The sequence below is a fragment of the Homo sapiens genome, chromosome 2, assembly GCF_000001405.40.
Source record: "Homo sapiens chromosome 2, GRCh38.p14 Primary Assembly".
NCBI classification, from domain to species: domain Eukaryota; kingdom Metazoa; phylum Chordata; class Mammalia; order Primates; family Hominidae; genus Homo; species Homo sapiens.
The window spans coordinates 165,224,573-165,238,753 of NC_000002.12; positions in this window are offsets into that span (position 1 = coordinate 165,224,573).

Genomic DNA, 14,181 nt, shown 5'->3' on the forward strand with positions numbered 1-14,181 from the left:
GACGGGTTTTACCATGTTTGCCAGGCTGGTCTTGGACTCCTGACCTCAGATGATCCACCCGCCTCAGCCTCCCAAAGTGCTGGGATTACAGGTGTGAGCCACTGTGCCTAGCCTAGGACCTCATTAGTTTTCACTGGGATTGGGGAATAAATATTTATAGACATAGTGTGTGTGTGTGTTTTAGTATATATGTATGTAAGTGTATGTGGGTGTTTGTGTGTAGTCTCTTCTGTATATACCCATATATATATTGCTGTTTGTGTGGTGGTAAACTTCCCTTTTCAAGGAAGGGATTACTTTATAAAGAGTCAAAAGTTTAAAATGAAAATAATCTGAAAAGCAATTCCTCACTTTCTCACAAACTCTGAGACTGAGTCCTTAGAAATCAGTTTTTTGCTTTGTTCTTTAAGAAGTAAATGATAGGAAGAGGGCTGAGTAATTGAAATGAGGGAAGTGATCTTATTAAATAGATTTTGAATCCCAATTATACTTAAATTGTGTTTCTGTAGCCAAAAATGTAATAAACACGAATAAATCTTCTTTATCATCATTTATAATACCATCTGTACAGATAATCTAATAACCTCTATGGAATGTCTGCTCTGTTCTAGGCACTCTACATTTCTTTAACTTAATTTCACAACCTTACAAGGTAGTTAAAGATGAGTATCACAGAGGCATTAACTGATACTAGAAAGGTTAAGTGAAGTGCCCAAGGTCACAGAGCTAGTTTGGATCTGTGTTCCCACCCAAATCTTGTGCCATATTTTAACGAGGATTTCACCCAAGGATTCTCTTGCTCTAAACCCACATTCTTTCTTAGGCCAAGTACACATCAAAGCATTATTCTATTATTTAAGTGTCAGAATAATGAAAAAAAAACAAACCAGCATTTCTTAGAGAAGAAAGGTAATGTGGGCTGAGGCTGTCAAGGACAGGATCAGAAAGAGGTGACTTTTAAGCCAGCCCTTAGGAGGAGATGGAGAGAGGGTAGAGATGTTTTGCCATAAAGAATAGCATGGCTATCATTGATAGGAGCTGAATTATGAGAACACATGGACACAGTGTGGGGAACAACACACACTGGAGCCTGCTGGAAGTGGGTAGGATGAGGGGAAGGAGAGCATCAGGGAAAATAGCTAATGGATGGTGAACTTAATACCTAGGTTATGGGATGATCTGTGCAGCAAAGCATCATGACACACATTTACCTATGCAACAAACCTGTACATCTTGCACATGTACCCTGAGATTAAAATTAAAGTTGAAGAAAAAAAAACGAATAGTATGGCATAAGGAAATAAATAGTCTCATAGAGCATTCAGTCTGGGCCTCATAAGAGATTGCTTTTTTTTTGCTTCATCTCTTTGGGACAAATGTTCCTGCCTGATTTAATAGAAATGGTATATTCTCTGCAGATACCTTTGAGCCATACTCTGAGATGCAGAGATATTTTATGTTGGAACCAGCTCTGTCAGCATGCTTGAATAGGCAGAATTTTTCCTCTAAGCTATCTGAAATGGAGCTGAGTTACCAATAAGCAAATCATAACACACAAGAATGGAAAAGACGAACATTTATTCCATCCAACTAGTGCTTACATTAATCTGATTAATTAAAGCATGAATGAAAACTATTTACTTGTGAGTGTTGTGAAAGAGCAGCATTAAATTAGCCCTTCACCCTAGCAGACACACTGTGATTGTTGGCTCTCATTCTGTTTTTAGCCTCATTGCTTTCTTGTATTTCCTACTAGTGGAAGCTGGGCCAGTGCATAGCCAGTGAAGGCTTTCTCTTATTTCACTGGTGACCAGACTCAAAAAAAGCAAGGTTTTTATATTGAAATTCGTCAAGAAACTTGCCATCAGACGAGTACATATGCATGACCACAAGGTCACTACCCAAATGGAGGCAAGAAAATGAGAGTTATCTTTTGCCTTTTTGAAGATTTTTCCAGAGGGGTTTAGTTGCCAGTTGGGTTTTATCTAATTTAGTTTCCTCTAAATATTTTTATAAACAGCAAGTTTATTTCCAGTTTTCTATTGTTTGCATTAACTAGGGGGTTTAATAATTTCTCACATTTATCAGTGGAAATAAACTATTTTTATTGAATATATTCTAGCAAAAGATGCTTTGAAGTTTTTTTTGGAAATATTTAAGAACCTAAAGAATGTGACCAAAAATTCCTCATAAAATAGCCTTTTGCTCAGGGTCTTATGTTGGCTTGGATTCTGGCTTTGACCTTGCAATCTCTGTCTATAGTGACCACATTAAATGTTACTTGGACTTAATAAGATCTTCTGCCTTCAAAGATGAAGCAAAAAGTGTTGATAGTTTTTAAAATAAAGAAATGAAAGCAATAGGGTGCGAGAAGTGTCTTAAAATTGAAATAAACTCAAAATAAAATTGAATTTGTAAGTAACTGGTTATGACATGGAGTGCCATAAAACTGAAAATATTTGACTGTAGAGATTTCTTGGTAAAGAAGAGAAATATTTGGAGTCATAATTTTAAATATAATGTCAAGTTCTGTTTAAATAAACAAAGTTTATTTAAAATTTAGACAAGATAGAAGGCCAGAGAAAGAAAGGGTAGCTTTATTTAGTAAGTCAAAATATATGTTATAGCATTTATCAAATTCATAAGATATTTGACCAAGTGATAAATATGAAGCTTATGTTCTGAAAGGGTAGACAAAAAATGCAACCAGCTTTGTGGTAGACAGTTGTTTAAGTATATTGATAATATCCTTTTTAAAATTTGTCCACCTGAAGCCTCTCTTGATCACCTCCTTGCCTCCAACCTTGGAAATTTTGTTAGCTCTGCCCCTAATACTTGGCTCTCTCTATTACATCTTTAATACTTGGCTGTATTAGGAAGTATATTCCACTCAGTGGTAATCTTGGTTTTGTCTCCTTCTTATCTATTAGAAGGTGAGCAACTTGAAGCAGAGGCTTCGCTTTGTCTTTGTGTCTCTAGCACCTTGCCAAAGGCCTGCTAATAAATAATTATCATATTGAATGGGTCTACACAATGTTCTCAGTATGCTCAGACATCTGTGATCACCTTTACTTACAGAGACAGGGCAGATTTGAAATATTTGCCCCTATCTTTGAAGCTAATACCTGGAGGTGCAAACTAGGTGGAGCAGAGCCCAGGAGCTATTTCTAGGAAGAAAGCATTTCTCTGATCCTTTGCTTCTGCCCACAGTGTTAATAACATTTTGTTCTGCACCCACACTCTCAATTTCATTCCAGCTGGGACTCTTCTGATTAGCATCCTGCTCTTTGCCTTCCCAGAGACAGAATAAAAGGAGAAGGAGCCACAATAACAGAATTAGACAAATTGTAACGGTGTCTTATGTCAATGTCAAAGGGAGAAAATATAAACAAGTTCAAAACTTGTCTTGGGATAGGTTTTTTTTTTTTTTTTTTTTTTTTGAGGTGGAGTTTCGCTCTTGTTGCCCAGGCTGGAGTGCAGTGGCATGACCTCGGCTCACTGCAACCTCCGCCTCCCATGTTCAAGCGATTCTTCTACTTCAGCCTCCCGAGTAGCTGGGATTACAGGCACCCGCCACCATGCCCGGCTAATTTTTGCATTTTCAGTGGAGGCTGGGTTTCACCATGTTGGTTAGGCTGGGTTTCACCAGGTTGGGTTTCACCAAGTTGGTTTCACCATGTTGGTTGAGATAAGTCTCGAACTCCTTACCTCAGGTGATCCTCCTGCCTCGGCCTCCAAAGTGCTGGGATTATAGGCATGAGCCACCGTGCCTGGCCTCAGGAGAGTTATTAAGCATAGCCTGCCAATAACTTCAAAATAACTTTGTATTAGTTTGTGATTTCAGAAACACCTTCACAAACCTTTTTTTTTTAAATTTGATTGATCCTTATAGCAACATTGTCAGTTTGGGTGGGCGAGGGAGTTATAATGCTGTATCCACACGAAGGAATCTGCTTTAGTTGGTTGGTAAAGTCTTCACAGGACCTGGAATTTACAAGATTGGTAGCTTGATATACAGAAGATATTGGAAAGGGAAAAATGTTACCAATAGAGATAACAATGTGAGAATGAAACAGAGGCATAAAAATGTATGTTATAATTCAGAATACTCAGTAGTACAGAAACTAAGGGTACATGGTGGAGAGGGGATGGAACCTACAAAGGTAAAGCAGCCAGGAATCACATCAGAAAGGATCTTGCTTGCCATGCTAAGGGGCTTGGACTTCATCCTTGGACAGTAGTGAGTCACTGAATGCTGTTTAACAGAAGACAGCTGTGACTATTTCTGTGCTTCATAAAAATTATTCAGAAGCATTGTTGCTCATGATTAGAACAGAAGCATGCCCTTTTTTTCTGCTTCAAAATATATTCTATTCACACTTGAAATTCAATTGCATGATCCTACCCAAGGTGAAGGGCAATTACCAACCTGTTCATTGTAAATCTCACTCTTCTCCAAAGAAAGAGTCTCCAGATGAAAGTGAGGGGGACCTTTGCTATTACAGGGATAATCTCAGATACATTTAAATTTTATTAAAAATCATTTGCAACTATTAGCCCATTATCATTATTAGTAAATTAAATATGATATTCTTTATGTTTAAAACACTGTGTCTGATCAGAAAGAAATGACAGTGGAAGAAGGAAGGCAGAAGAACAATCAGAGCACTAGGTGGAGAACCAGGAGAGAGACCTGACTTATTGGGGCATGGCAGAGAACCTGAGCTTTGTTCCTGTAACCACAACTGCTACTGAATTTATCCCAACAGCAAAACTCCCACTCTTATATTTTAAGCCTTCTCTGCTGGTACCCTGTTCTAAACTTACAAGGCTGGATGACTCCTAACAAGTGTTAAAAATACTTGACTGTAGCCTAGGGACATATTTTTTTTAATGTGTGGGTAAAGAGTTTTCCTTCTTCAACAAGTTCAATTGAAGAAAGCTTCTTATGCCTATTTCAAAACACACGCACAAATTTAGGAGCAGTGAGATGAATTCTCTTGCAGCTATTTTGATTTGAGTTGTTTCCCCCTTGGAATTTGTGGATAGAAACTGTTATATTAGGCTCCACATCATTAGTTATATTTCAACTTGAACTTTAAAAGTAGGGCTGGAGACCTGAGGTAATGATTACCCCCAAGAATCCTTTTATCCTTTTAAGGGCAGATGAGGTAGATGAGTCCCTACTTTTGTAACTAGAAGAACTTGATAGGCTAATGTTTCTGATGATATCTTCTGTTAAAAAAAAAAACTAACCCTGAGATACTCTTTAGAAAGAGTTCTGTTGTCCAATACTTATTTTAAATTATTCTTATAAAAAGCTCTCTATTAAAGAATCATAATACACATCAGTGATTTAAATATCTTAAGAAATCCTTCAGTAACAAAATTAATCTGTTTAACATTTTATTGCTTGCCCTCTACTTCCTATCTTCCTATAATGGGTCAGAATGTGGACATGAATGTCAGCCAACCTCAAATATGAGGCCGAGGAAAATGCCCTAAGAGCGAACACAATAGCAAAATGGGTCCCTGTCCACCTCGCAAAGCATAGCCTGCCTTTCACCCTAGACTTTTATGGGGAGATCATTGTTTGTCCTGTTTTAGTGAGGGTTTTTAAGTTTCATTTGTTGTAATATCTCAGCTTATACACTCTTATACTCAACATACTTAAACTATTTTGACCACAGAAATTGTCTTAACGGTTTTATTGGAAAATCTGCTATCAATAACATCTTGAAGACTACATTTCTAAAAAAGATATTTTAGGCAACACTGGGCATACCAAAGGATTCTTTAATTCTGATTTCTTGATTAACAATCCTTGCTCTGTGCATGGCTTGTTCCATGATTTTCCTATTCTCTATTTCCTGGTTGGCACTTCTTTAATTGCTGACACAGGACCCATATTTCACCTATCTGATGGCTCCTGAGAACCCTCCACTGGGTCCTCTGGACCTGGCCAGGATACAGGGGATAAAAGAGTATGTCGAAGATTACTTGAGAAGTCTGGGGCACCATTATGCAGCAGGTGAACATCACTCTTGCTTAATACTGTATTGGTTGTAAGTCAGTCATATGGTCCTATTAACTGCCAGGGAACTGGGAGATGTAGTTTAGTTGCTTGTTAGGGAGGAAGGTGAAATCATTCGATGAACACAGAGAGTTGTCTCTGCTCTCCTTGAAAAATATCAGAGATTCCCATCTTTAATTCAACTCTTTCTAGTTGTTTTCTCTTTTGGAAATACATTAATGCTTCTTCAAGGAGCCAGGCAAAGCAATCAGATCACTCACTGTAATCCTTATGAGGAAGTGTATATCCTTTTCATGGTCAAGGTTGTTTTGTTTAGTGGAAAGAAAGTTGGTTGAAGAATAATGTGGTCAGATTTCTAGTTCTCTCTCTTGAAGTTATAGCTTTTTTTTTTTTTTTTTTTTGGTGAGACGGAGTCTCGCTCTGTCACCAAGGCTGGAGTGCAGTGGTGCGATCTCGGCTCACTACAAGCTCTGCCTCCCAAGTAGCTGTGACCACAGGCACCCACCACCATGCCCGGCTAATTTGTTTGTATTTTTTTTAGTAGAGACGGGGTTTCACCGTGTTGCCAGGATGGTCTCGATCTCCTGACCTCATGATCCTCCCGCCTCGGCCTCCCAAAGTGCTGGGATTATAGGTGTGAGCCAACGTGCCCGGCCCCTACATTATAGCTTTCTTAAGTCTCTATTTTAGTCAGGGTTCTCCAGAGAAACAGAACCAATAAGATAGATAGATAGATAGATAGATAGATAGATAGATAGATAGATAGATAGATGATGGATGGATGGATAGATAGATAGATAGATAGATAGATAGATAGATAGACAGACAGACTATATGGGATTTGTTAGAGAAATTGGCTTAAGGAGTTATGGAGGTTAAGAAGACCCAGGATGGACCATCTGCAAGCTGGAGAACCAGGGAAGCTGGTAGCGTGGATCAACCCAAGTCTGAAGGTCTCAGAATCTGGGAAACCAATGGTGTAATTCTCAGCCTGAAGTCAAAGTCCTGAGAACTAAGGGGGCCACTGGTGCAAGTCTAGGAGTCCGAAGGCCATAGAACCTGGAGTTCTGATACACAAGGACAGGAGAAGAGGGATGACCCTCTTCTTTTTGTTCTCTCTGAGTCTCAGCCAATTGAATGGTGCTCACCAACACTAGGTGAGGGTGGATCTTGCTTCCTTATTCAATCCAGCAAGTCCAATGCTAATCTCTTCCACAAGTGACCTCACAGACACGCAAAGAATTAATACTTTGCCGGCTATCTGAGTACTCCTTAATCCAGTCAAGTGGACACCTAAAATCAATCATCACTGTCACCTACCTTTTCTGAGGATCAATCTCCTGATATATAGAATAAGAGAGAAGTTTACATATTCACTCTGATCATAGTATCTTGTTATTTAAGAGCCAAAGTGGATGTAAGAACCAGCTGTCCCTACATCAGACTCTGTATCAGAAGCCATTTGACAACACCTCTGACAGGTGTTCAAATTCTAGTAGAATTCAGAGAAATATCTGTCTGCCAAGGCAGCTCTATTTATTGCCATCAGTTATCATTAAGTCCTTTCTAGTAATGAGCAAAAATGTAATGGTAAAATCAGCTAGAGCTTAGAGATTTGAGTCCTCCTTCTTCACCTGGTCACATGTGAGTCAACTGGCAGTCCTCATTATTCATCTTTCCACTAAATTTTACCATTTATCTTTATAATTTTTCAGATATTATCCTGCATTGTTCAGCAATCTCATCTTCAAGTGTTTGTTTCTCTTTCCATCCACTCTTCCAAAAACTCTGTCCCATCATCTTGGGGAACATTGAAAGTCACTGCTGGATATTTGACATCTGGTGACAGCTTTATCTTCTGTATGGGTGAAATTTGGATTTCAACATTGATATCTTTTATTCTTGACTCACCGTTCCATCTACTCCACTTGTACATGATAATGTGGCTTCAATCCCTGCTATAAACATGGCTTAGGATGCTGCTTCTGCATATTTTGCCCCTTCTTGCTCCATAGCCACATATGAAAACTTGTAGCTTGGACCCTAGACTCCTTTTATCCAAAAAAGGAGATGGGTTAGATTTCCAAATATGCAGGCATTTCCCCACAGGTCTTCTGCATACAGAAAAGATAAAGATAAAAATGGAAACTTAAACTAACCTCTGGCAATTCAATGGGACTCTCTTGTGTACATGATCACAAGCATCTGAAAAATGCTAGATGAGGTATTAGATCTGGGAGATACTGGTTTTATCAAGCATATCTTGTCATTTCCAAGGTTTTCTAGTTACTGACAATGAGTCACTGCTAATTTTTCCATCCTTTTTGTCACAATTACTGACCTCAAGAAGGCAAAGAGTTTCATGTGTTCTTTGAATGGAATTGAAGCCTTGTGCATCCAAAGATTCTGTTGACTTCCACCCTGCAAACTGACTTTGATGTACCAATGACTCCAGCAGGCTGGGAAGATATTACTTCCCCAGGAAAACTCTGCCCCATTTCTGTTTATGCAAGTAGCTGTCCTTGCTGAGGTAGTAGGATCAACTAAACAACAAAATCTTCTTTGAGGCCTGAGCACTTTCCTTTGGGGCCACCTTCTTGAGTTCAGCCTGCATCACTCACTAACCTTGGTTGGTCACAGGAACAGTTATGACAGTACATCTGCACAGATGTTGAAGGCATGACTAGCTTAAGGGCCTTCTATGTCCCTTCCTTTACCACTAACCTTAGGATAGAGTTTATTTCTGATAGTTCCAGCCTGGTGGTGGTATTCTACTCCTTTGCAGAACACATTTAAGCTACTACTCTGATTTCAATTCTCCTCTCTACTTCAGCATCTCAGTGATGAACTACATTCTTAAAACAATGTTAGTCCACCCAGAGGATTCTGTATTGCTAGTCAATTTTTAGAACAAGGAGATACTCACTGGAGTCAAACCCAAGGGAAGAACAATTAGGCTATATATATATATGGGTATGTGTGTATATATATTGTGTATATATATATATGTATTTGATAGATTTATGTTTATTTTTACATACATGTTAAGTACAAATTTGGAAGCATAAGATGACTTCTCTGCAATTATTTTGCTATGTGTTGCTTTCCCTTTGGAATCTGTGGATAGAAACTATTATATTAGGTTCCACATCACTAGTTATATTTCAACTAAAATTTCATAACTGGAGCTGGGTATATATGCGTCTCTACTTGATATAGCTGCATCATCCAATGATGGGTATATATGCATCATCCAGTGATGCTGGGTGCTGGAAGATCGCCATTTAGTACCCAGGTGGCAATTAATTTTGTGGTATTGTATTTCTGGGTGTTCCCTCCATTCCTGACATTCTTTATCATCTATGATTCAATTATTTGCCTGGCTCAAGAAAGCACCTTTATTTCCCAGTGAACCACGATGTGATAGAGGTGACTTTAAGTAACTGGTTTATTGTGATCAACATGGGTCAAAGGAATAGGTGTGCAGTGCCACTCCAGAAACTTACCAGAGAGTACTTTTGTCTTCTAGAAAGTGAACCTGGAGGCTCAGTTTCTCCAGAATTCATCTTCCTCTGCCCACTCCACCAACAGAACAGTTGGCATCCTTTAGACCAGGGGTCCCAATCCCAGGCTGCAGACTAATATGGTCTATGGCTTAGGCTCCATCATTCTAGGGTTTGATTTTTAGTTTACTTTTCTTGTCTGCCATACTGGAATTTGCTAATATAGCTGTGGTCCCTGTACCTTATTATGGTGTAACAAATGCAATAAGGATAGGGGCTTCTTCTGATAATTAAGACTTCCATCTGCCCTCCGTAGGTTCAACTTTAATGCTTCCTACAGATGGGCAACAGGGCTATCTGCTCAGTGCAACCCCCAGAATTCCAATTGTCTGTGCTGTCTCCACTCCATACCATAACTAAGCCTAGGAAGCGCCTCCTGAAGTTCTTCACTGGGCTGAATTAAGAACAGGATCATCGTTCTCTATCTGGGTGTTTTCTACCCCACTGAGAGAGGTGAAATTGTCAGAACAAAAATTTAGGAATTTACCAAATGCAGTTTTTTTTTGGCTGATAATTACTATTATTAACAATAATGACAATGATAAGCTTAGAAAAATTAAACACTAAACAATGGCTGCCGTAAGAACACTGAAATGACTTTATAGTTTACAATCAGTCTTTCGTCTTTCAGGGATATTTTTGTGGACATCTGGTGCCACATTTTAGTATGGGGTTCAGAGAATATCAATTTACCTGTTTCTTCATCATGCTATATTGAGTTATTTACTCCACAATAAAGGTAGACCTACTGATGAGAAATGTCAGGGCAACCTTTGTGTATTTCAGTTACCCTCAGCAAGGTGCTACCAGCTAGCATTAGTGTATTTCTGGTGTTGGTAACAGGATCATGTGAGCCTTGTAGATGAGAACTCCTTGTTGCTCAGGGGATCATGGAATGCTGCTCTCTTTCAGACAGCCATCTTCGGGGAAGAGAAGGGTCTCTGGCAGAGCTCTATGGGTCCTGCACTTCTCTTTCACCTCTCTGCCTTGTTCTTTCACTCATTAATTTCTTGACAATTTATTTTCCTTAATAACTCTAGTTCCTTCTGTTTATCTTCTTCTGTCAATCCTTGCATCCATTGCAAATCCATCACCTGCTCTGAAATACCACACTGAAGGGAGGTACTCCTAAAGACCTTCCTTCTTTTCCACTCTTGTTTTACCCTTGGCTTACACAACTGTTGAACAACTGGAGCTGAGGACAAAAAGCACATAAATTCCAAAGGTCAACGGAATCACTTCTTCATAGTTTACATCTCCTGTGTCTTAAGTAGAACTCAAATAGAACATAAGCATTGAGAACAGAGGTCTGAGTTGGAGGTCAAGACATCGTTTACTAGCTGAGGGACTTTGGCTTTATTTTTCTCATCTCTAAGAGGGAAAAGATAAAAATCTACTTCACAGACCTGTTGCTGGGAATAATGAGATAATTTATGTACAGTACTTAGCACATTGCTTGGCACATAAAAAGTGCTCAATAAATGTTATATATTTATAACATTATTTGTAACACCTCGTCTTTCAAGGAATTATGGGAATTATTCTGTTTGTCAGACTTTGTTTATGGAAATTATGTCCTTTTGATGGCCCAATTTTTCTTTTCCTTTTCTTCATCTTTTGATAACATACTATTAAATGTCAACAATTCATACTAATTGGAACTAGTGTAATAAGCTGTCCTCCTCATCAGTATTAGCAGTCTTTGAACATGGCATAAAAATATGCCCATTTTGGCTTACAGGTCCTTGATTCTCTAATGATAATAGTGCAGGAAAAACATTAGATATGGAGTTCAACTTTTTAAAACTGTCTTGATGTTGGTGACCAATAATTTAAAAGAGGTTAGCATATTTTAAGGTGACTAAAACTGTACAAATGAAATTGCCATTTAAAAATGTCTGTTCATTTGCTTTTCTCCAATGCAGATATTTTAAATAAGAAGAAGTGAGGCAAGAAAAATGTAAACAAATATTAGGTATAAACTAGGAACTTAGTCTTTTATTTTCTGAATCAGATGGATGATATTTAAAAGTCTGGGTGAATGATAAATGGTAGAAAAAAATTAAATAACAGTCAATATGCACAACTTAATGGAGGTAAAATAAGACTTACTTACTTTTATCTCTATAAATTAAAATGATTTTGAAAATCAAGCTGCCAAAATAAAGGTGTGGATTTTATCATTAAAGCAATGCCCAAGAGACATGTTATTGAGAAATTATGTGGCATTGGTTTGTTGTTACTAGCGAAATGAATGCCTAACTGAAGTTGATTTCATAAAGATTTAGTGTGTGTATGTACTTGTGTGTCTGTGTGTATATATGTATATATATATTTGTATACACACGCACACATGTCTACCATGTGACATGTTGCTATTTTTACAACTTATTTTAAAACAGCTAAAATTTTCTAGATGAGATTAAACATTTTCCATAAAAATAAAATTACAATAGTTACCTCAAAGTTTGTTTATCCTGGAAAAAAAAGTGCTAACATAAGAGTTGTTCAATAATATTTTACCAAAATTTTGTCAGAACTCCATTAAAAACAATTCAAGACCACAGTGGTCTAATTTCAACACTGGCATCATTAACCTAACATATTTATGGAATATTCACTATATGTTCTGTTTTCTGCTTAAGTATATGAATTAAACATAGTTTAAATAGTTTACTCAAAGAACATGCCATTTGCTTCATTGATTTCACACTCTCTGACGTATGTATTAATAAGAACATAGGAATCCACACACAGAAATAATAGCATTCCTATGGTGCATTAATAAAAATGTATGAATTTTCTATGTCTAGGACATGTATTCATTATTTGGGTGGGTCTTATATTTCAGGTACTGTTCTGTGAACCACGTTTATGGAAGTGATCAAAACAGGCAAACATCTCTGCCTTCATGGAATTTACATTTTTCTTGGAGGAGGCAGACAATAGACAAAATATTTAGTATGTCAGCTAAATACTAAAGGGAAAAACCAGAGGAGGGGATAGTGTGTGGTATTGAGGGTCAAGGCCAGTCTCAGTAAGAAGGCAGCTGTGAGCTGTGACAAGAATGAGGGAAGTGAGCCATACGGAGCCCATGTAAGAGATTTCCAGGCAAAGAGATTAAAAGGTGGACGCCTCCTAAGGAATGGACATACCTGCCATGTTTGAGTAATGAGAAAGAAGATAAAATGGCTAAAGTAGAGTGAGTGAGGGCAAGAATAACATCAGAGAAGTAAAGGAGTCTAGATTGTGAGCATTGTGAACACTGGGGAAGGCATAGACTATTCACAAGGAGATGGGTAGCTACTAAAAAGTTTTGAGAAGAAGAGTATGTGATATGATTTAGGGTTGAAAAGGATTGCTCCAGTTTCTGTGTCATATAACCCTATGGTCTTGAAACTGGGATATTGTATCCCTGGGGGCATGAGGTGGCGTGCCTAGAGGTACACAAAATCCCAGGATCAGTTAGTCACATCTTCCCTAAGGATAAAATTTACCCTCAAGACTATGGGGAAAAATGATTACTGTGTTAAGAAAAACATTTAAATTTTATATAAATTATTGTAAAATTCCCGTGATTTTAAAAATAAAGTATCAATAATATTTCATATTTGTGGCATCTTAGGCTTTAATCTTACAGGTTTAAGCTTCTTGGCCATCAGGAGTAATTTGTTGAAATTGCAAATTAATTTGGCAAAATTATCATAATTATGTGCCCTGAGAGCTTATGTATCTTATGATAGTGCAGGAAACTTGTGAGATGAAATAGTTGAGTGTATACATTAAAATAATTTGATCTACCAAGTCACTTTAATTATTTATTTGTTCAGTGTTAAAAATATATTTTCATAACCAAACTAATACATCTTAATAATGTTGTAGAAATGGAAGTAAGGTAAAATTTAAGAAACTGGGTTTGTTCTTCTGACTTGCTTATTAATACTGGATAAGTTACTGAAGAGTGGGCTTTGGTTTCCTCGTCTATTTAATAGTGTGGGAACAACCTTATGTTAAAGCAATCTATTCAGTATAACTTTAGCACACAGAAAATAAAATATTATGAATCCAAAGAAAGTGTAGCTTGCAATCATGTATTTTATTAAATGTATTTATCAGCATTTTGGCTTCTGATGGACATGTGTATATACATATTTTGTGGATAAAAAAATTACTTAACTATTTTTATATTAGATACTATCAATTATTCTGGCTGATCTGGGGACTTTTAATGGTAAATTTTATATCAAATCTGACAAAGACAGTATTTCAGACCCGTTTAAGACCTAGAACTCACCATGAGTTCTAAAATTGGTTCTCAGCACCATGGACAGCGTTACTGCAATAGGAAATTAAAGATCGATTTGGCCCCAAATTAAAATGGTGTTGTAAAAAAGTGGGAGAAAAAAAATGCCTATCCTTTTACTTCAAATTTTAAAAAAATGATCCTGGCCTTCACAACTGTTCATAAGAAGAATAATTAATTAAACAAACATATATTGAGAACATCATATGCTCAGTAAAACTTTGATTCTATAAATGGTGTCATTTACCAAATGGATTCTTTTGACAATTTAATTTTCTCTT